Below are 23,947 nucleotides of genomic sequence, written 5' to 3'. Positions count from 1 at the left end.
TGATTTCCCTGCAATCTTTACTGCCAGCCTGTACCTACCTTTGGTTATAAACCTCCTGAAGGTAAAGACCAGGTTTGTGCGGTTGTCTTTGTTAAGCGTGCCTTGTGAATTTAAGCATTTGTGTAGAAAACTTTCCCGCCCTTACGTGTAATTGTTTCTTCAAATCCCAGTTTGGTATCTTTGGCTATTGATTTCTGTGACTCTCGTGGTAATGATGACTATTGCGGACTCTCCCCACCGTTATGGGCCTGAAGCAGGAAGGTTCCAGAGCCTTAGCAGTATTCTTGGAAGGAGTGCTTTGTTCCATTCTGTTTAAGAGCACCAAGGGATAGAAACTACATTGAAATTGGATGTGTAAAAGAATAGCTTTAAATAGCAGCTAAAGAAATTCATGCTCACTGTTTGTATTTAGCAGAGAGTTCAATGCTTCTCATACTTTGAGTGCATGAGAATTACCTAAGGAACTTATTTTTCAAATCAAATCCTTCCTGTTGCCCTCCTTCCCTAGACTCACTGCATCCAAATCTGGAGGTAGCAGAGAGAGCATCTGCATTTTAACAAGCTTCCTAAATCTAATGCAGATGGTCCACTCGTAGAGAAACACTGATCTAAATTCTAGTTAATGATTATAGCGCTTATAAAGCTAGTGACAGCTGGCATATATAGGAATCTAGCATTATACTACTCAACATCTCCAAATAGCATATTTAATATCTGACCTTATGTGAGGATTTTTTCATAATTGATGCTTTCATTTCCTAAATTGTCAGTTTTACCTATTAAAACAAAACATACTTAGAGTGTTGTTTAATATTTTCTCTTTGACTGAACACTACTCTGTACTGCCAGTTATCCTAAGGTAATTAAGACACAGCTCTCCTTCAAAGAGGTCACATGCTAGTTAGGATGCAGACACATTACCAGACAATTACAGTACCATGTGGTGAATTCAGTAATACACAGTATGATTAGCATAGTAATAATAGAGATGTGCCTAGATGGATAATATTATCCTGTGTATTATTTAACCCCGTGTAAGTGTGTGATTTTATTAGGGGCATGTTTGTACCCTAATGTCTACTTAACTTACAGTTTTCATAAATGCCTCTTTAGCCTTTCTTAGCGTATTGTGAGAGTGTATAGAAGATACGTTGTTACTGCTAATCTGTAGCCAAGATGAGAATGACAGATAAGGTCAAAAACTAAAAATGAAATAAAATGTGTCTTGCTATCTGTTTATTACTGAATGTTATTGGCAGAGTTTCCAGGATGGAGTTGGCTGTTTAGAAACTCATGATCTTTAGAAAAAACATGGCAGAGGCTGAATGTTTAAATTACAACCTTCTGTAAAGTCCTCAGTTCTTAATGATTCACTACATGGCTTAAAGACAGGATCTTATTAACTATCTCTATTGAGATAATTAAACAGTCCCAGTTATTTTTTAAAATACTAAAATATTTACATACTACTTATAGCTAATAATGAAACTCAACATAGTGTATCAACTTATATGGATATTCTTAGCATCGGAAAAAGTTCCTTGAGAAAAATAAAATAATATCAGAAATAAAGGGAGGGAGAAACTATATTAAACTAAGAATTGAAATATAAGTTTTCTCAGGTGACTAAATTTACCTTCTGTCACTAATGAGATAATCTGTTTTGTCAGATCTCAGGCCTAGTTTGTACCACAGGCTCTTTGTACAATTCATATTTCATTGAGTTTTCTTCCCCTTAGGTATTGTGGGGATGTAGGTAAGGATCTCTATTTTATGTATAGAAAGACTCAAGCAGGCTAAGATACAAAATTTTAACTCTGAGTCATAGCTATGACAAAACTCTCAACTTTCATTGCAGTATTTTAATTTGCTAGACTAACTTTCCAGTAAACTAACTGAATTTATATCCACAAGGAATAATGATGGCAGATGAGATGAAGTTATGAACCTGTGAGTGCTGATGATTGATGTGGATTCCTTTGATTTCAGTGCATTGACATCTGCTTTCATGTGTTGGCATCCTGTTCTTTCCTGGGTTTGTCTACCAAAGTGAGAAGCTGAAATCAATCATGTCTATGTAATTATTTTTTTCATGTAGCAAATAATGATATCCAGTGTATATTATTGAATATTTGTTTTATGATGGTGAAGCACATCATAATTCCAAATTGCAGTGGCTCTTCTTCAAAAAAGACTTAAAGACGATTAATAAACATGTATTAGTGACCCAATATCTAAAAGTTTCACTGAAGCTTCTTATCAGTAGAATTCATCAGTTCTTCCTAAGCATCGCTCTTTAGAATATCCTTTTGCCAACGTAAACGTTGATAACATGGGGATGGTATGGGAGTTCACCAGGGAAGAACCCAGGTAATGTTGGGCCAGCTTGTGAGTTTCTGTGTGGTGTTAGAGAGCCCTCTGCTGCTCGTGGAGATGACACCTTTCAGTTAATTTATCTAGAAGTCTCTGTTTTTCCTAACTTGTTGGCACTCTGGTAGCACTCCTGGCACTGCCCTCTCCCTCCACAAACACAGTCTGGGAGGGAGTTAAAAGCTGCCTCACTTTAAATCTGGGCCAGTGCCTATGGGTTGTGTGTCTGAATTTATGCTTTATCACTGTCAGTGAGAACAAATAAGATCTCTGTGGGCTCTGTTCTCACATGATGGTTTAATTACCCATGGAGCCCAAATATTTGCTAATTACTCCAAATAAAGAAGATAACATGAACTAAGGTGAGGATATTTTCAAATTTTAGGATCATCCTGTCTAAACCACTGAAAAAGTAAAGATGTTAACTATTCAGTACAAACCAGTGGTAAACTTGCCATCAGAAAACATATATAGACACTGACAGCTAGCTGGCCATATATGAATTTGAGCAGGTCATTTTCATTGTCTGTAAGAGATGATACCACCCAAGGTACTTATTTTATGAGGGAGATTTTGGAGTTAAAGAATGTGATAGGACTAGGCACAGTGGTTCATGTCTGTAATCCCAGCACTCTGGAAGGCCAAGTCCGGGGGGGATCACTGGAGGTCAGGAGTTTGAGACCAGCCTGGCCAACATGGTGAAATCCGTCTCTACTAAAAATACAAAAAGAAAAACAAAAAAAAAAATTATCTGGGCGTGCTGGCATGCTCCTGTAATCCCAGCTACTTGGGAGGCTGAGGCACAAGAATCACCTGAACCCTGGAGTTAGAGGTTGCAGTGAGCTGAGTTCATGCCACTGCACTCCAGTCTGTGCGACAGTGGAAGACTCTGTCTCAAGAAAAAGAAAAAGTGATAGTTTTGGTTTTGTGGGTTTTGTTTTGTTTGTTTTGTAAATGATGAAACTACTCAGATGTAAAGGGTATGTTGCTTTTCTTTTAGTTTTGTCTTCTTATGCTTGCAATACAGTTTCAATTCCATCAATGCAAAAGTGCTTAGCACAGTTCAGGTAGTGCTATATCATTGCAGTGCATTTCATCGCATCAATATTGGAAGATGACCTCTGGAATGGTTTGCAGGAAGTACTGTTGAAAATAGAATTGAACCAAATTTCTTGAAACTCTCAAAGCTTTCACCCTATTTTTTCCTATGAAACTTACATTTGTCTGTGGTGCAGAATGGATTCCCAATGGAATAGTATGTTCTGTATTAAACATTTTTAATGCACTATTTATTCTTACCTTAAGAAGAACTAGAAATAACTTTTTTTTTTTTTTGAGACAGAGTCTTGCTCTGTCCCCTAGGCTGGAGTGCAGTGGCACGATCTTGGCTCATTGCAACCTCTGCCTCCTGGGTTCAAGCAATTCCCCTGGCTCACCCTCCTGAGTAGCTGGGAGTACAGGCATGCACCACCATGCCCAGCTAATTTTTGTATTTTTCGTAGAGACGAGGTTTCACCATGTTGGCCAGGCTAGTCTCAAACTCCTGACCTCAAGTGATCTACCCGCCTCAGCCTCCCAAAATGCTGGGATTACAGGCATGAGCCACCATGCTTGGCTATAGAAATAATTTTTTAACAGCTTTATTGAGATATAATTCACATATCATACAAATATGCAATTCAATAGTTTTGAGTATATTCACAGAGTTGTACAGTTTGCATGTAATCATATCATCAGTTTGCATGTAATCATATCATAGGTAATCTTTTGTGAGTAGTTTCTTCCCCTTGGTATAATGTTTTCAAGATTCATCCATGTTGTGGCATGTATCAATACTTCATTCCTTTTTATGGCTGAATAATATTATGATATATGGATGTAGCAAATTTCGTTTATCCATTCATCAGTTGATGGACATTTGGGTTATTTCCACCTTTTGGCTGTTATGAATAATGCTGCTATTAACATATGCAAAAGTAACTTTTGAGAATTATGAAAATATAGACTCTATTTTAGAGCCAAACGGATCCCTAAAGATAATCTAAATTATAGCTTCCATTTTCCAGATGACTGAACTCAAACACAGGGAAACAAAATGACTTGTTCAGTGACATATGTAGAAACAAATGGAAAACACTCTACACACATGTCTAAAGAATAGCCATTTGTATACGAAGTTGATGATCATGGCATGTATTTGGGATTAATAGTGGAGTTTTCCCCCATTAGAAGCTTAGTAAAGGGAAGAGTCTATTGTCATTCAAAAGATAAAAACTAGCTAACTGGCAGAGGAAACTGAACTCCTGACCTTCCTCCCATTAGCATTGAGCTCTAATATATAGACACTTACTGCACTACAGATTAAAAGTGACTCGGGACAGGGCAGCTTAAGTTGTTTTTATGTTAGGCACGTAGCAGGTACTCAGTAAATACTTGCTGAATTGGAGACTACAGAGAAATTTAATGGAAGCATATCAGAACACTATTGTCGACATAATTTCTAAAGCTTTCCATATAAATTGCTAGGAATATTCTTATACTAAAAAATTGCAAGTAATTTACTCACCCTTAGTTATTATATAAGCATTCCTGTAGTGCAAAGAAAAAACAATTTGGAACACTACTTCTGTTTACATTGCGGAGTATTTGATATTTACCTTGAGAAAGAGGAAATAGTTTTTAGTTTATTTCCCAGAGTTACTGTATTCATTAATGCAGTTTAAGGAAAATGAAGTTCCTATTTTATATGTACATTGAAATAGGAAGGTTTCCTCTTCTGCTTCTTTTTTCTTATATAATGATAGAGAGGATAAAAGACTATTTTGTAATTATCTGGAATTAATTCTACTTTGGTTTTTTTAAGATAAAGATTTATTCAAAAAAGTTGAATTTACCTTTCTTTTTTTTTTTTAGAAAAAGAACTTGGATTCTCTTATTCCTAGTACAGATAGCAACTATTAATATTTTGTATTTGGAGGAATGTTTTGTCATAGACACTGAGTAGTTTATACACTAGGGATAAACATACATCTGTCAATGGAAAATGTTAAGAGCAATGTTACATTCAGCCTTCTTTAATTTTTCTAAATAAACGTAGTTCAAGATTGAATTTCTAATAAATATTTTAAAGTTTTCAGATTATAATAAACATTTTCAGGTCACACAATATCTTAGCTGATAGAGATACACTGAAGGAAATTATGACAAGTCCATTTTTACACATAAAAATGGCAGATGAACTTTGTTTTGACCAAGTACACATGAGTACACTTTAAAAATTGTAAATGAATCTTTTGATCTATGTCCTTTTCTTGCAAAGAGATTTGTCTGTATTTCTAAATTTAAAATCCCTTTCAAATTTTAAACCATCATTTTAAGATAAGCTCTGAAATAAATTTGACTTCTGATATCAAGTATAGACTTAGAATATTGTTGCTAAACAAATAACGGACTCCAGAACCAAAGTATAGTACATTATAACCCTTGTGCAAATTATCCCAAAGCCAGATATGGAAATTGATTTTAGTTTTTGCATGAGAAAAGACATGTTAATGGGAAATAGTGGGGCCAGGGGTGGTAAAAATAAGATAGGAGAAGCCTCGGAAGTTGCTCTTTAAAATTAAGGTGCCTAAGTAACAAAGTGAAAATAATGAGGTGGGGGGGTGGTTTAAGACATATGTTTTATAATACCTTTAAAGACCAAGCTCAGGAAAACATGGTATCTTCTCATCAAATCTAAGAATAAAACTCAGGGAAGCTGGGTGCGGTGGCACACACCTGTAATCCCAGTGCTTTGGTAGGCAGAGGCAGGAGGATCGCTGGAAACCAGGAGTTGGAGACCAGCCTGAGCAACATAGTGAGACTCTGTCTCTACAAAATTTTTTTTAAAAATTATCTGTGCATGGTGGCATATGCCTGTAGTCCTACCTACAAGCTGAGGTAGGAGGGTCACTCTAGCCCAGGAGTTTGAGGCTGCAGTGAGGTATGATCATGCCACTGTACTCCAGCCTAGATGACAGATTAAGACCCTGTCACACTCCCCCCAAAAAAAAGACTTCAGAAAACTTGAACTTACTAGAAATAAAAATAAAGAATTGAACTGCTTTACTCAGATCATATTAAAGGAATGGAACTGAAAGGCTAGAGAAAAAAATTAAGCGTTTAGAAAAAAACATAATAGATACCAGTATTTTGCAGTCAGCAAAATGATTATAAAAAGAAATAATTTCGCTGTCTAGGTTAAAATAACTCTTGAAACTAAAATTAGAAACTAAATGCTGGCCTGAGTAGACCATTGATACCCTGTGTTTTATTTTTATAAGTGACTTTCCTCTTTTTCAACTCCTTGATTTGATAGAAACCCAAAAGCCTGCCTGTTTCTCCAGTGTCAGCTTTCTGGCAGGTCACTGCTGCGCCCCTGGTGCTGAACTCCCTCAATTGCCACACCTGCCGAGTTATTAATTCTCCCATGCTTTCCAAGCACATTCTCTCTTCTCTCTCTCTCTGTCTCTCTCATAGTTCTCCTCCTGTGCATTATCTTTCTCCCAAAAAAATGCCTACGTGACCCTCAAAATTCACTCCCTGTGTGGCTTATCTAACTGAGCCTCAGCTAATCTGCCAGACTGCATAGTGCTTCAGAGTGGAAGGGCTGGAGCTCTGACTTCAGACTTGGATTGGAACCTCAGCCGTTGACTGCCTCTATGGCCTTCAGCCTGTTAATTAACCTTTCTAAAACTTGTTCTTCTTATCTGAAAAATCTGGTTAGTAATTCCTTCCTCCATGATGTCTTTGAGGATTGAATGAGATAATGCACGTAAACGCTTTGTACAAAGCCTGGCTTTTTATGGTGAGCTCTCAATCAATGGTAGTTATGTATCCTTTTTTTATAATAATCAAATTTCAGGTTTCCATTTCTCTGCTAGCCTGTAAATTCCGTGAAAGTTGGGATTGTGTTTTCTTAGCCTGTGTATCGATCATGGATTCTAATACACTCAGAAAATGTTCTCATATGAGCACCTGCCCGTGGTTGTGGAAGCGCCCAAAGTCTAGGTGTAGGTTGACATCAAACCTTCATTCACTTTCCAGTTGCTGCTCATCATCCTAAAAAGCAGCGGAAAGTCAAGATGATGTCAGAAACAAGCCTTGACCCATTTTTCTGTGCACAGTCCTCCTCTGGCTGAGGTGAGGGGTGTTCGGGAGAGGATGACAGGATAATTTGCATGCCTTCTGCACATCTTTGTCTCAAGAATTCCACATTCAGAGTTAACAGTTTGGGAAATTATGTGTCTGTTAAAACTGTGTTAACAAACCCTTAATAAATTTGCAATAAGGTAATAATTGAAAGAAGTTAGCAAAAACAATTTTCTTTTTCCTTCTTTCCTTCTACAGGTATCCCCATATTGTTTTGATTTTGTTTCAGTGACTAAAGATTTGAAAATACTTTATTTACTAATGTTATAAAAATATTTTCTCATCAACTAATTTCATCCCCCCAAAGAACGTTACTGTATTTTACGTTCTAAATTACTGCCTCCCTAAGACAATGTTTTTATGTTTATAATAATGATAAACATCACTTTTCTGAACAAGATCTTAAAGACAAATGAAAGCTTCCAGCTGCCCAAAATTTCTTCAAACCTCAAACAATCTTTGTGTTTGGCGTGAAGTGAAATAATTTTTTTTCCCCTACTCTCAAGCCAGAACAAACAGATATAGTGTGTGGCAAGGCCATACTCAAACATTACCTTGCCCGAACATATCATTTTCTGGGTTCTCTGTATACCACAAAGAGTACAGTGTTAAAATTATGGGCATAATGGCAAAGCTCCCACCTCTTATTGTGCAGTTGGAAAAAAGAAATGATTTTCTTTAAGTAAGGATGGGAGAAAACCCATGGCACAGCTGAAGATTCATTAAGTTTTGAATAGATGGGAAAAAGAAAATTTAAAATAATCAATGTACAGATATCAGAGAATGCTCCTAGGCAAAATTAGTTTTACAAATTATAAACAGTATGTTTTCAAAATATTTAATCAAACACTACTGCAAGCACTCAGCAAAATCTTGATGATAGTGATTTTATTCAAGAGCCATTTACTAAGCACATGCAGTGTTCTTGGTACCTAGCTAGGTGCTGTTGTTACAAAGATAACAACAAATCTGGAAATGAGACAAGCCTCTGAGCTCATGAATTTCAGTGTTATGTGCTAAGCACTCGGTTATAGCTATGAACAAAGTGTCTTGAAGCCTGGAGGAAGAAGCAACTCCCTCTCCAGGGTGCTAGAGATGGCTTCCCAGATTAGATGACACTTGAACTGAGAGATGAAGTATTTACCAGGCAGAGAGAGGTGGAGAAAGGATTTAAGGTAGAAAGAACAACATGTACAAATGGAAAGAGTTGCAAAAGTGCAATGAGGTTTGTAGAGATATGTTGGGTTGCAATTGGGAGGGACTTCATGTGCCAGATTTAGGCATTTGGATTTTTATCCCAAATGCAGTGGGGAAGTAGGAGAGGCTAAGGACGAACTAGTGTGGAAAACAAGGAAATAGTATTGCCCCTGTGAAAGACTAATACAGTGGAAATGGAAAGGAGAGATCTGACTCAAGAGACACATCCTTTTTTTGAGACATAATCCGTACAATTTGGTAATTGATCAAATATGGAGGTAAGAGATTGTCTTAGTCCATTTTGTGCCACTAAAACAGAATACCATGGGCTGGATAATTTATAATGAACAGAGACTTATTTCTTACAGTTCTGGAGGCTGGGAAGTCCAAGCTCAAAGGTCTCATATCTGACAAGGGCCTTCTAGCTCTGTCATCCTGTGGCAGAAGGCAGAAGGGCAACACAGTGAACTCAATGAGCAGGGGGGAGAGTGTCAAACTCATCCTTTTACCAGGAACCTACTCCCATACTAACCAACCCACTCCCACAATAACAGCATTAATCCATTCTTGAGGGCAGAGCCCTTATTAAGTAATCACCTCTTAAAGGTTCCACCTCTCAACACTGTTTCATTGGGAATTAAGTTTCTAACACATAAACTTTGGGAGACACATTTAAACTATAGCAGGGATAAAAGTCGTTAAGGAAAACAGTTGGCTTATAAACACAATGTAAATACTATAACAAGAATAAGATTCTATTCTGTGACTTCTACACATGTCTCAGCGAGGATTCCCTGAGAAGTGCACTGTCAGTCAATCAGCAGGCAGTCATGGTTCACTTTTCACCTTCTAGCTGTAGAAAGAGATGCAAAACAAATGGAAGGTAAAGCAACTCCTCTTCCCACCCCCCACTTAAGAACTCTGTTCCTTTTCCCCCCACATGCACATACCCCTACCTCCATGCAATTTCTTAGACATTGCAAGCTGTTAATCAGAAGGGCATTCAGAGCTGGCACTAGCTGAGTAGGTAGGATTGAAATGGAATGAGATGATCCTTAGTTTTCTGTAAGTATAATATTTCTTTGATTCTAGAAGACAGAATAGGTGATAAAGAATGCCACAGTCGTACAAATAAGGAAGAGCCATGGAGGCCATGTCCTATGCAAAATGATGTCCTTCACTGTCTCTCTGAGTCTCATTCTTGACACCGTCCTGTGGTGTAACTAGGGAAAGACTATTTAAGAGAGATTTGGAGATATTCTGTCAGCTCCTCCTGGCCTTCCACAACTACGTCATCATGCCCACTACTGGGCATATCCAGACCCATTTTCTCTCTGCTTTTCTTTACCATCTACACTCAGCAAAATCTGTACTTCTTTGGTCCAGAGCTGATTTTGGCAGTAGGACAGAGAAAGAAATAGTTTTTTCCCTTTGTCTTGTGAGAACATAGATCTTAATTCATCAGCATTCATTCAGTGTGCATTATATAGCAAGCAAGGGAGATGTGTATTTAGCATAGTGTTCTAGAACAGTATTTTTTAATTCTGTGGGTCATGACCTATTAGTGGTCATAAAGCCAATTTAGCAGGATGTGACCAATATTAATAACGAAATAGAAAATATCCCAGCAAACTAAGAATAATTTTTGTGAAATTTATATCTGATTTATATGTATGTATACTGTCGTGATATAAAATGTGTTTCTAACTGAATCATCATTAAAACTTTAAAAAAATATTGTATCTCGACTGCTTATGAGGATAGTTCACTTGAATGAGAGGTTAGATAGACTTTTGAATACAGGCCTGGAAACCAAATCCCCATGTCAGTATGGGAAATTGATTATAGTCTTAGCATTCCTGTAAATGAACTTTCAGAGCATAACCTTTGTGTAAGTAAGATTGAAGCACCTTTGTTAGGCATGTTTTTCTATCTGAATTTGATATGTTCCAGGCCTCTTCCCTAGCTTCAAATAGTTCCGTTGCTTGGGGCAGCATAACTCCAATCTTCACATGATATTCTGCCTGGGTGCATATCTGTCTCTGTGTCCAAATTTCCCCTTTTTATAAGGACATTAGTCATATTAGATTCAGGCCCATCTTAATGACTTTATTTTAATTTGATCATCTCTGTCAAGACCCTGTTTCTAAATAAGATAACTTTCTAAAGTATGAGGGATTATGGTTTCAGTGTATATTTTTGGGGTGACATAATTCAGCTGATAACAGTATATTTCAAATTTCCACTAAACAGACAAAAATTGGTAGAAATATTTTTCTATCATATTGGAATAAAATCTAAATCTTTGGAAGTCTTTTTGTCTATTTGTTTTGCCTTCAGAATAATACCTCTTACTGTTAGCTAAAAATTTCTGTTCTGTGAATACTAACAACTTCAGCTCTTTGCATTTAACCTTTGGTCTGGAAAATCTATTTGCCCTTGAACTGCAATAATTTGTATTTCTACTGGCTAAGAGTTGTGTTCTTAGGCACAAAGTGCAAATAATAAAACTATAAACAAAGCTGCCTGGGTTTACAAAAAAGAATTGTAAAATATCCCCCACCCGCAACAAATTACAGCTGCAAACAGTTATGAACTGATCCGAAAACTCTTACATTTGTTTTCCAGGAAAAAAAAAAAAAGCCCACCGGGACTTTTTTTTTTTTAATGTTCTTGATTGGGACCAAACCAAAAACCTAAGCAACAGAACAGTGGCTGCCACGTACCTCCCCAGTTGGCAAGGGGCATGGTTAACGACTGAGACTGTGGATAAATTGAAAATGCTCAAGTACATGTGTTGCACTTTATGTTTTGAGAACAAGGAAGGAAAGGAAAATGTGCTAACTTCACTTATCATTCTCTAAGAAAATTCCTCCCCTTACATTTGTAGCACATGTGGAAAATGCCTGAGTTCCTGAAAAAATGTTTACTTTATACTTTTCTTTTGTTTCTTTATACTTGTCCCTCACTTTCTCTTTTGCTCCTTGTTTTGTTTTTTAAGCCTCATGGATGGTTTTTCTAGTTTCTTCAATGAATGGGACCGAATTCTTAGCATTTACTTGTTTTTCTGTACTTTTCAGTATTCAAGGAACACTTACAAACTATTTCTTCTGTCTCAAACCACTTAGAAATATATTTAAAGTGTGTGGCTAAATATGCAAATTATGTTAATTTTCTGGTAGCCAGCCACATTAACCAATTAGAAAGTTGAAGTAATTGGAGAGTTAAAAAGGGAATGGAATGGAATGGTGGTTTGATCGAGTAATTGAAGATCCATTCTGGGTACTTGCCCTGGGAATTCTCCCAACATTATTTGGTTTTTCTTAGACATATACAACACTATGCCTTTCATGATTTCCTTTAGCTTGCTGTATAATTAAACTGATAGGCATTGCACTGCATTCTGTGGCTTCAGTTTAGAAATTAGGGTAACTCATGAAGAGATTATCAGTCTAGGTGTCATTTATTTATGTGCATTAACCAATGTCAAGCTGTATAAAAAATAAGTTAGACAGGACTCTGCTAAAACGTAGATAAAAATATCTAAGTTATTGGCATTCTTAGTTGTAGCTTCTTAGATTTAGACTGTTATTTAGGTCTATATGATAAATGTTCTTCCTACAAGCAGTTATTTTGAGAATATAGTACCATGTATCTGAGAACATTAAGCATAATCACATAAATGAGGTGATTGCCCAAATCTCTCAATGTATGTTTGATTTTTTTTTTTAAGTAAACTACTTATAATTGGCTGCTTAAGCTTGGTCATTATTGAGAGTCAGCAAATAGGAAATAATTAAAACACGGAGTTTTTACTGGTAACCAAGGAGGAAATCGAATGAATTCTAAGTTGTTTCAATTTGTCATTGGTTTAATTTCATGACACACACTTCCTTCTTCATTCACAGAACATGTGCTTATTTTTAAAAATTAAAAGTGAATCAGAATTAATTCTCAATTTCATCTTTAGGAAAAAATTATGACAAATTATGCTCAAGTTAGAGTTTAGGCAAAATCCTTTAGTATCATTGAACATGACAGATTGACACGAAAACAGAAATAGGTGTAAATGATCTTTGTTAAAGATGTTTTGGAGCCTGTAGTAATAGTACAATATCTTTGTACAGCTGTATAAAAATGGTAATTTTTTCAAATGTGCATTCTGGTTTGTGCATTTTGTGGAAAAGTTTATTTTGTTGATTTTATTTGGAAGAATTGTCCGTGGCCATTTTTCCTTAAAATTACCTTCGAAGTCAATGCATTAAATTTATTTCTAAAATTAGTTGGCTTAATCAATTTGAAATCAATGATTTAGTTGTCTCAAAATTTATGCCTTTGTTTAGATTGTATTACTAAATCCCAGAAAAGGGTACTTTTATGAAAGGGAAAATAGAAATAAGCTTTTAAAATAAAAATTGATTTATTTACCCTCATTTTCTTTCCAAATTATATTGTTTTTCTCAGGGACTGTGCATGGATTGCTCCACTGTTAACTGCTGATTGTTGACTAAATGTAATACTGACTCTGCTTTATTTTACTTAAATTTCAGTGCTTACATTTTCTTTTTTAGAACAAAAACTGGTCAAAATTCAGGGGCATAGCCAAATTAAGAATTTCTTATTTTGTCTTTCATTGATGAATTTACTTTGTGCAAATGCAGGCCAGATAAAATATTTGCTTATGATTAAAATCTTGTGTTTCTATCAAGAGACATTCTTGACATCGTGCCAGTATATTTTAATAAATTAATCACCTTATAAGTGCTGTCAGGCATAATGCATTATGGATGGACTTTGACTAAGGTGATGTAGAGTTGCCATAATCAGAAGCATGACAAGGAGCTTATCAAGTCCACGAGATCTTGTTGTGGCTGCTGGAATGCAGACTGGCCATCGAATGCATTTTCTTCACTAACCTAGTCATCTCGCTGTACTTTAGTAAGTTAAAAATCAAGGGAAAACAATAAGTAAGAAAAATGAACTAACATGTAATACAGTAATTTACACATCACTAGCTGCATCATCTGAATGAGTTATGTACTCACTCTGAGACTGCTTTTCTCACCAGAATTAAGGAGCAAGAAGCCAGAACCAGGGAAGTTTTGTGAGTATCTAATTGAGATAATTAATGTAGGACCTGTGGTAGGATCTGGCCCGCAGTCATAATTGATATGAAATTTGTGAGGGAGATGAAAGGAAAAAAGTATTGCTTCTGTTTGCTGCAGAGAAATTTAGCACACAGACACACACAAATAGCTAAGACACATAAACAGCTGTGTTCAGAGCCCTGAACCATTTAAATCATCTCTCAAAAGCACTTAAGAAAATCAAGCATATTGCTAATTGAATGCACATCAAAGAATGTTACAGTAACCATGTTAATTTTCCTTCAGTTTGCTACATGTTAGAGTAAAGGATCTGTTCTGGGCAAAGAAAGTATGTAGTACTAATTTTACAAAATATGGAGGCCTTTCCTAGAATAACAAAATCATTATAGGTTTTTAGTGGCAGGTTTTTTTGTTTGTTTGGCATGGTGTTTCTTTGGCATAATGATCAATTTCTTGATCAGGAAACCCAGTTCTAACATTTCTAAAATTGTTTTGTTTAGTGTTTTCTAGGAGTATTTGGAAGTCAAATGTGTAAGCGACTTCTGTCAGGTTGACTTAAAAGTAGTCACCTCCTATAATAGCGCTGTTTCAGGTGGTTTCTTCCTGGACACCTGGACATTTCCCAGGTGTTGTCCCCTCTTACTCTTCAACCCTGCAACCTAATTCTACAAGCTTTGCCCTCAGCCCATCCACATTACAGCCCATCACTTACCCCTCACCTGGGAAGAGTTAACACCATTAGTTATAAACATTAAGGTATTTGGCAACATGGGCATTAGAACAGCTGATCAGTGTTGAAATTGGAAACCCAAATCATGAGAGAATGAAAAACAGTGTGTCACATTTTATGTTCCATATTCCTTCTAAAATGTTAAGACCTATTCAACTTCCAGGACACGATTTTGTTTGCTTGTGTGTGTTTTACAGTATAACTCTGTAATAAGAGTTTATTGACTGCAAGTTTAATACTATCAGTCGAAGCAGACTTTTCTCTTTTCATGAATGATGCTTAAGAAAATTAAAAATAAGCAAAAAGAGAGAGAAAGAGAATGCTGCAGGTAATTAGTTGCTTTCCCAGATGCGGTAAGGTGGTGTACACCCCAGGTGATATCCAAGAGGAATCCTAGGGGTACAAAAGAAAATATTAGACTTTCTTTTTCATTTTATTTAATACTTTATCTTTCTACTTTTATCTGTTTAATGATGTACATAATATAGTTATATATTTAATCAGTTATATATTTGAGGGGAGTGGCCACTGAAAAGCAAGTTTTATGAGTGCATAATTTTAAAAGTTCAGAGATCACTCCAGTGGACCGCAAGGGGGAGGGATTCATTCTATACTTTGAGATCATTTATTAGGAAAAATAAAACATACTAAAGAAAGGAAAAGAAAATATAGCATATATGTTACATTTTAAAAATTAAATTTTTAGGCCAGGCATGGTGGCTCATGTTTGTAATCCTAGCACTTTGGGAGGCTGAGGTGGGAGGATCACTTGAGCCCAGGAGTTCAAGACCAGCATGGGCAACATAGTGAGACTCTGTCTCCACAAAAAATAAAAAACTAGCCTGACATGGTAGCACGTGCCTGTGGTCCCAGATACCCCAGAGGCTGACGTGGGAGGATCACTTGAGCCTGGGAGTTTGTGGCTACAGTGAACCATGATTGTACCAGTGCACTCTAGCCTGGCCAACAGAGTGAGACCATGTCTCTTAAAAAAAAAAAATTAACTTTCAATGTATTAAGCTTCATATTTTGTCTGTGTTGTTTGAGGAACTTAAACTTTTTAATGATTTCATTTGTGTCCTTTCATGTTATACACACTAGTTAATACTTAGTAGAGTAACTACAGAAGGACAAAGAGCCCGTGAGTATGGTGCTGTTTACTGATGTGCTCTGCATTGCTAGGGAATCATTCCTGAAGTGGCTCGTTCTTAACAGGAATGTTTTGTTGGTTGTTTCTTATTTTCATCATCATGTTAATGAGCTGCAGTCAGCTTTGTTGAGATAAATTAGTATGTAATCATTTTAAGGGTTTATGTGTAATATACGAATACTTGAATTGGGCCTCTAGAATAAGGCAGTAAAAAGCTTCCTCTTGAAAGTGTGATGTGAATTACTTCTGTCTTAGCTGATCTTGAAAGAAGCCTCACTTGATGGTATCCTGACAAGAAGTAATTGACCTTGGCTAGGTCCGAGGTGGATCATGTTTTACTAACCTTATTCCATCATGTGATTGGCTTTAATGTGCTAAATCAACATTTTTTACAGGTAGAACATTTTTAGTAAAATTGACATGTCATATTAACAGACATTATATTAATTCAAAATTTATTTTCCTTTTAGTTCACAGGAAGATGAAAGACCTCTGTCACCTTTCTATTTGAGGTATTTATTTGATTTTTGTTGGTCTACTACAGGGAATAAAGGAGGGTTAAGGCTTCTTTGGGTTTATTTGCTCATTTTAATCTCTTTCAATAGAACATTCATTACTGTGGCCAGACTAACTTGCTGGAGCTCTTCACCTTACTGTATTTTCCCCTTTGGTTCAAGAAATTTTTTTTTTAAATGTCTGATATAGTTGAAACAACTAAAATAAGACATTTTGTTTTAAATTCAAAAGTGCCAAGGTGATCATTTTAATTTAAAAACTGCCTGATGATTAGGCTGTAAGCAAAGTTAAAAATCTCTATTTTATACATATACATATGCATAGGTTAGTGGGGGCAAATGGGTACAAGACCCATTCACAGATAAAGCCTTGGGTTGTGTTACATCATTTTCTATGTCATAGCGGAGAAGGAAACTAAATATTCAGCAAGTTTATAGGGTTTAAGATGATTTTCTAAAACTTACAAACCCAGAGTAACAATGTTAAAGCAGGTAAATTAACAGAATTCAAGATCACCTCTCTCTGGTGATTGAATGCTGTACTGATAGGGTTTTCCAGTGAGTCATCTGAGATACAGCCTAGAATCAAGTCTTCCTTATTGCATGTCTTTTCTTACTACCTACCCACTTCAAAGGCTTAGAAAATATATTTGAAAAGTATATACACATGTAGAATAATGCTGATGTTTGTTTTTTAAAATATTTCCTGAAGTATACTGCTTTTTATTTATTTTATTTTATTTATTTATTTATTTTTGACGGAATCTCACTCTGTTGCCCAGGCTGGATTGCAGTGGCATGGTCTCGACTCACTGCAACCTCCGCCTCCCGGGTTTAAGCAATTCTCTGCCTCAGCCTCCCGAGTAGCTGGGATTACAGGCACCCACCACCACGCCCGGCTAATTTTTGTATTTTTAGTAGAACAGGGTTTCACCATCTTGGCCAGGCTGGTCTTGAACTCCTGACCTCGTGATCCACCCGCCTCAGCCTCCCTAAGTGCTGGGATTACAGGCATGAGCCACCACGCCTGGCCTGAAGTCTACTGCTTTTTAAAAGAAATGTCAGGGGATGCAATACAGAATTTGTTTATTTATTTATTTTTGAATCTGACTTGTTGAAATAGTCCCAGAATGGATTTAGGCTATAATTCAACCACTAGTACTTCAGAAATGTGTCATAGGACTTCAGGCTTAGCGAAGTAACTGCTTTTTAATAGTGTTTACTCTTTAGTGACTTGCAGCATATTGCATAATCACTTTATGGCAAGAGAGGGAACATTTGAGGTTTCAGTATGAGACAACGTGGTCCATTTTTTCATCCTGGTTTCCTGCCAACCAAATCAGCATACTCTGGTTCATAGGGTATCTCAACTATGCAATTCCTGTGAACACATCAGGATGCTGCTGAGCACGTAGTGAGTCTGATATTCATTATATAAATATACACAGTAATAACAAATGTTTATTATATATTAATGGAAATTTAGTTTTACATAGTATAGGAGACTTTAGCACTGGTTCATGCCAACGAATGAGAACTTATTTCTCTGAATGTCCTGTACTTGCAGAATGAAAGTACAAGAAAATACAGTAAAAGAAAATCAATAATATATTTACTGAACTCTTAATAGAAGCTACTTGATATTTTCAATGTTGAGTCATAAAAATTAAATATGATAAAATTAGGGGGAAAAAGAGAATGAATATGCATACTGGCCCACGTTTATGGTAGAAAAAGGAGAAGTTACCAGCAGGCATTCTTTTCATATGATGGAGATTTAAACTAAGCAGAACTATTTCACAAATGCAAAAATAGTAATTATTTAGCCTGAAATTAGAATTTCAAAAGTAGGCCCAATCAAGACATAAGACACGTCTGCTGAGAGGGTTACTCACCGGAAGTAGATCCAGCCACAAGCAGCCATGGAGCGGATAGGGCTGGGAAAGCTGGTCAGCAATGGCATATTCAGTTTGGTGGTTAATTCTGAAAGGTCCAGCATAAAGAGGTGGAACAGCAAAACTCAGTGGCTACAAGTCTGTGAGTGGACAGTCTTCAGAGAGTGCAGATCAGAACAGACAGAAGATGAGAGCAGAGCAGGCCTCCAGTCTCAAAGGAAGGAGGGTAGATGACCCATAGCGGCCCTCGGGTATAGGAGATCACATGGGAATCCTGCTACTGGAGTGGAGAAGAGATGGATTGTATACAACAGGACAGAGTCTGTGTCTGGGATAGAGGATGCAGACGGAGAGCGTGTGAAGAGGCCACAGTGCACACTAGTGGAGGTCCCAGGACCTTGCTGTGGCTAGGGGAGAAGAAAGGGATGCAGGAACAGGGAACCAGAGAGGCCGTTTCAGTCATTATGTTGCTCTTGTTATCACTTTATGGAATTTCAGTTTCTATAATGTGATATTCTCATTGAACAGTCATGCCTGAATCCCATGTTAGTCTACCATATATTTCAGTTACCTTCAGTCCTTTCTGTAATATGGTAGGGCTGTTATAAATAGACACACACTCATATTTTTATTCTAAATCAAATATCTTCTGTGATAACTCTGTCATCTCTAATTTCAGAACTTCTCCAACTTAACTCACCACAGAGCCATTTGTCATTTTTTGCAAAGGAAGGAAACAGTAGCTATCAATCTACACCTGCCACCATTCCATGTAGCAAGTTAATTGCAGTTATAGGAGCTCAAACAGTAGGTGTCATTGTTCCCCAGACGCTTATTAGGGATTACCAGCCCAGTTGAAATGATTAGGGAAATGAAAAGGAAAAATAGGTTATGCCAAACCCTTAGTAAGACTACAGCAGAATAGACATGACCTGCACACTTAAGGTGGAGAATGTTCTTGGCCAGGATGTTCATACCCTGTTCTCTCTTATAGTCTAGGCTGCAATCCCAAACAACAGGGCCCCTACCTCAGTTGCTCAGCTGAGCATCAAAACAACTTGGTGGTGGTGTTCTTCTGTGCCATGTTCAACCTTTTATTGTCTGCATTCTTTTACCTGGCCTCCAGTCAGATCTGTCTAGGATCTGTTGCTGCTCTACTTCTGTTTGCCTGAGTTTTCAGTGTCTGCAAGCCTGAGTTCGGATTTCAGTGTTTGGTTTCCACTAAGACTCGGGTTCTGCATCTCCTTTTGCTGTTTCTCCTCATCTCTACCAGCTCCCACCTCCCCTACACCACTTTCATGGTCCTATGAGCAGGATCAGATCCCATCCTTATCCCATTTCATCAGACTTCTATCCTTGAACTCCTTCTTTACAAATTCCTGGATTATACATATAACTTGCATATGTAGAACCTGTGTTTAATGTGCTTTATCAAAATCTGAGGATGTGTGCTTCAGGGGCTATAGACCAGTTTTGTTCATTGGGCTCTAAATAACTCACCTGGCATCTGAAACTTGGTCCTTGCTTACCTAACACCTGTCTTCTAGCAGGTGCACTGATCTTCCTCTCTTTTCGTTTTCTCATTTAATGCTCCATGAAAATCCTGGAATTGACCATCTTTTAAAATATCAGCCCAAGTTTTAATACTCACAGTGCAAACTGAGGCTAAATTATTAATTTAGCATGTTTGGATTAAGGTCAGCTTTGGTGTTTCATCTGTTTTCTAATTTTCCTGAAGGAGCATCAGATGGATTTATTTCTAAGTTAGCTGTTTTGCAGATAGACTTACTGTTTCTAATTTGGTTAATTTTTAATTGCTAGAGCCTGGGAACTATCGATTTTCTCAGTCTCATAACTGTACATTTATGTTAAAGAAAAAAATGACTTTGGCTAAATTCAAATTAAAATATTACTTGATATTTAGATGGGATCTGAATATTATACCATGCCACTGCTATTCCTGATATGTAGAAAACTTCTTTCTAAAGCATTTTTAGGTAATTTTTCTGAGGAATGGCTTTCCAAACAACTTATGCTAGAATTTGTATGTTTGTGATTTTTTTTTTGTATTATGCTTCATTAGCTTTAACTTCTAATAGTTTGTTTTTCTCCTTAAGAAGCATATTGTATGTTTTCTAAATGATTATTTTAAGGTAAAAATCCTTCATTATCACATGGGAGAGTTTTGGAGAAGTGTAGCATACCAGACATTATATTTATTCAAAACCCTGTTTTAGGCTACTAAGAAGTGGAACAAACAAGCAAGCTGTTTATTTAAGTATCCACTTTTTTAGCAAGATGATAAAGTCAGCTAGGTATCTGGATGTCTTTAGACACAACTACTTATTAAAAATATTTGTTTTCCTTTTTATTATAATAGTGTTTCTTTTTCTTTTTTTTTTCTTTTTTTTTTTTTGTTTTTGTTTCTGAGATGGAGTCTCACTCTGTCGCCCGGGCTGGAGTGTAGTGGCACAATCTCGGCTCACTGCAACCTCCACCTCCCAGGTTCAAGTGATTCTCCTGCCTCAGCCTCCAGAGTAGCTGGGATTACAGGCACCCGCCACTACACCTGGCTAATTTTTATATTTTTAGTAGAGACAGGGTTTCACTGTGTTGGCTAGGCTGGTCTCAAACTCCTGACCTCAAGTGATCTGCCCACCTCGGCCTCCCAAAGTGCTGGGATTACAGGTGCGAGCCACCGCGCCTGGCCAGAATAGTGTTTCTAAACGGAGGGGGCACATCCCCCCTGCCTGTGGAGCTCTGCTGTTTTGGTTTTGGTTTTTGTATTATGGTAAAATATAAACAAAGGTTGCCATCTTAGCCATTTTTAAATGTACAGTTCAGTGGCATTAAGTACATTCTCATTGTTATACAACTGTCATCACCATCCATCTTCAGAACTCTTTGCATCTTGTAAAACTGAAATTCTGTACTCACTAAACACTAATTTCTCATTTCCTCCTTTCCCTATCCCCTGGCAACCACCATTTCACTCTCTGTCTTTAAGAATTTGACTACTCCGGGTACCTCATATGAGTGGGATCTTACAGTCTTTGTCCTTTTGTGACTGGCATATTTTACTTAGCATACCTCAGGGTACATCCATGTTGTAGCATGTGTCAGAATTTTCTTCCTTTTGAAGGCTGAATAATATTTCCATCTATGTATATACTACATTTTGTTTATCCTTTCACTTGTCAATAGACACTTAGGTTGCTTCCATCTTTTGGGCATTGTGAATAATGCTGCTATGAACATGGATGTACAAATATCTGTCCAAGTCCTTGCTTTCATTTCTGTTGGGTATATACTCAGCAGTGGAATTGTTGGGGCCAGGCACAGTGGCTCACGCCTGTAATCCCAGCACTTTGGGAGGCCAAGGCGGGTGGATCACAAGGTCAGGAGATCGAGACCATCGTGGACAATATGGTGAAACCCAGTCTCTACTAAAATACAAAAAATTAGCCGTGCATGGTGGCGTGCATCTGTAGTCCCAGCTACTCAGGAGGCTGAGACAGGGGAATCCCCTGAACCCGGAAGGTGGAGGTTGCAGTGAGCCGAGATTGTGCCATGGCACTCCAGCCTGGCAACAGAGCAAGACTCTGTCTAATAATTAAAAAAAAAAAAAAAAAGTGGAATTGTTGGAGCATATGGTAGTTCTACGTTTAATTTGTTGAGGAACTTCCATACTATTTACCCTAGCAGCTACATCGTTTTACATTTCCACAGGTAAAGTACACAGTTCCAATTTGTCCTTATTTTTGTCAACACTTGGTATTTTGTTTTTCTAATAATAGCCATCCTTTAGTTGTGAAGTATGTGGATTTCTTTAAAGATGGTTGTGTCTCATTGGTCAGGATTCTAAGTCTCAGGTCGTGCTAGGTGCCTACACAGAACCAGACCAACAGTATAACTGAGGAATGGCTACAAAGTTTACTACTGTTTGTCATACAATTTTTAAGACTCATTATTGAGTTCTTGATCTGAGAATCACCAGTCATTATTTTTTATTTATTTATTTTTTGCGTAGTAAGATGTAAGTATAGATTCTGGGTTTAATTCTAACAATGTTAATAAAAATATTAAGCATATGTTTAGAGCTATACTGAGAAAGATAAATTATATACATTTTAAATGCTTTTCTTCATATTTTTACCTCTTTATACCTCAGCATGATAAAGAAGAATTCACTTGTAGAAAATTACACCTTTATATCCATTCTGCCTAGGTCTCTTGTTACTTCATTCCTCAGTTTCCCTGCCTCTCTGTGGACTTCCCTTTGTAGAACTTCAGATTTTAATAAAACGTAAGCCTCTAGTTTAAACAGGTAGCAGACTGCCTTTGCCTGATACAGTACTCCCAGCTTTCTATTTAATATCCAATGATGATATAAAAGACAAACTCTAGAGACAGCTCTGTAGCAATGATAAAGAAAAGCCATGTCAAAAGTCACATCATCTATGGCGTGGACGGAGAAACATATTTTTACCTTGCAGACTTCATGTTCTGCCAACTAAACAATACAGATAGCCACAAAGAGAAAAGGAAGGGAGGAAAAACTGACTTGGCTCTCTTCTGCTGTCTATTGCACTAATCAGAAAAGCTAGTGACATTTCCTCAACTGAGCAGAAACTTATTTTCTGAACCATCTAGAGCCGAGTTGTGTTTTTATTGTTTTTCACCTCTCTGCCCTCATCAGCTTTTTTATTTCAATATCCATTCAGACAAGAATACTCAGTGTACAGAACAATGGGGAAGAAAGGGATTCTTCTCCTGGGATGCTCAGTCACCTAGCAAAAGCATTTGAGAAAGGGATAAAGGGAAGAAGATTATTGGATTTTCATATGTGCTTTCAAGTGTACACTACCCCAAAACAAACCACAAATTTGTTTCCAGTTCTCCAGCATAATCATAAAATTGGACCAAAAAGCAAGTCCACCTAAGTAGGCATTATAGATTATTCTAGGGCAGATTCAGATACTGGCTCTTCAAATCTAAATCCAGGAGGAGGCATCTGCTCACAGCCAAGTGGACAATTATATAAACTAAGAACAATCTACCTTCCCAGGTTGTTGGAACTGGTTCTGCCTAGATTGATTGTTCCACCTTAAGAACCACTAAACACAAAGAAACTATTTGGGACCTATGAAGAAAAATTACAAACTAGGGGAAAGGATGATCTGCCTCAATGACTCAGCATAAAAGCAGAATCTAGAGAATTGATTTTTATAAAATTCAGATGAAAACTTGAGAACTAATATTGTTAATCTTCTCAAAAAATCCTCAAGGACATAAACCTTTTTGAAACAGTAGGAAGCCATTAAAGCAGAGTAGGCTTGGAATTGAAAGGCTGGGGATACAGAAAGAACAGCTGAAATGAGGAGGGAAAAACAACCCTAGAAATGTTTTAGAAGAGACTTTAAAAACTATGTTGAAGGCAGTAAAGAAGAGAAATGATTAAAAATCAGTCAAATACATGATAAAAGAGAAACTGGAGACGCCCTTCTGGAATGAAAAGGAACAGGATAAAGATAAAAACTACGTGACAGGCTGGACACAGTAGTTCTCTCCTGTAATCCCAGCACTTTCGGAGGCCAGAGTGGGAGGATCTCTTGAAACCAGGAGTCTGAGACCAACCTGGGCAACATAGCAAGACTCTGTCTCTGTAAGAAAATAAATAAATTGCCCAGGTGTGTTGATGTACACCAGTTTCTTGTGAGGCCGAAGCAAGAGGATTGCTTGAGCCCAGGAGTTTGAGATTTCAGTGAGCTATGATGATGCCACTGTACTCC

General features: G+C 37.1%; 1 protein-coding gene across 24 annotated transcripts in view; it reads left to right on the top strand.

Annotated features, from left to right (window-relative positions):
* FAM13A (family with sequence similarity 13 member A) overlaps positions 1 to 23,947 on the top strand; it is a 331,226-nt gene that overhangs the window by 235,918 nt on the left and 71,361 nt on the right. For 16 of the 24 annotated variants that reach the window (XM_047449481.1, XM_011531516.2, XM_011531517.3 and 13 more), the window contains one exon: positions 16,216 to 16,257. The exons of the other annotated variants lie outside the window; for them this stretch is intronic. In XM_047449481.1, coding sequence (XP_047305437.1) covers positions 16,216 to 16,257 — 42 coding nt within the window. The remainder of the gene's footprint in view (positions 1 to 16,215; positions 16,258 to 23,947) is intronic. 24 annotated transcript variants of the gene reach the window in all.

Source organism: Homo sapiens, chromosome 4, assembly GCF_000001405.40.
Source record: "Homo sapiens chromosome 4, GRCh38.p14 Primary Assembly".
Lineage (NCBI taxonomy): Eukaryota > Metazoa > Chordata > Mammalia > Primates > Hominidae > Homo > Homo sapiens.
The sequence above is the reverse complement of the archived record's forward strand: the minus strand, read 5'-3'. Positions and strand labels throughout refer to the sequence as shown.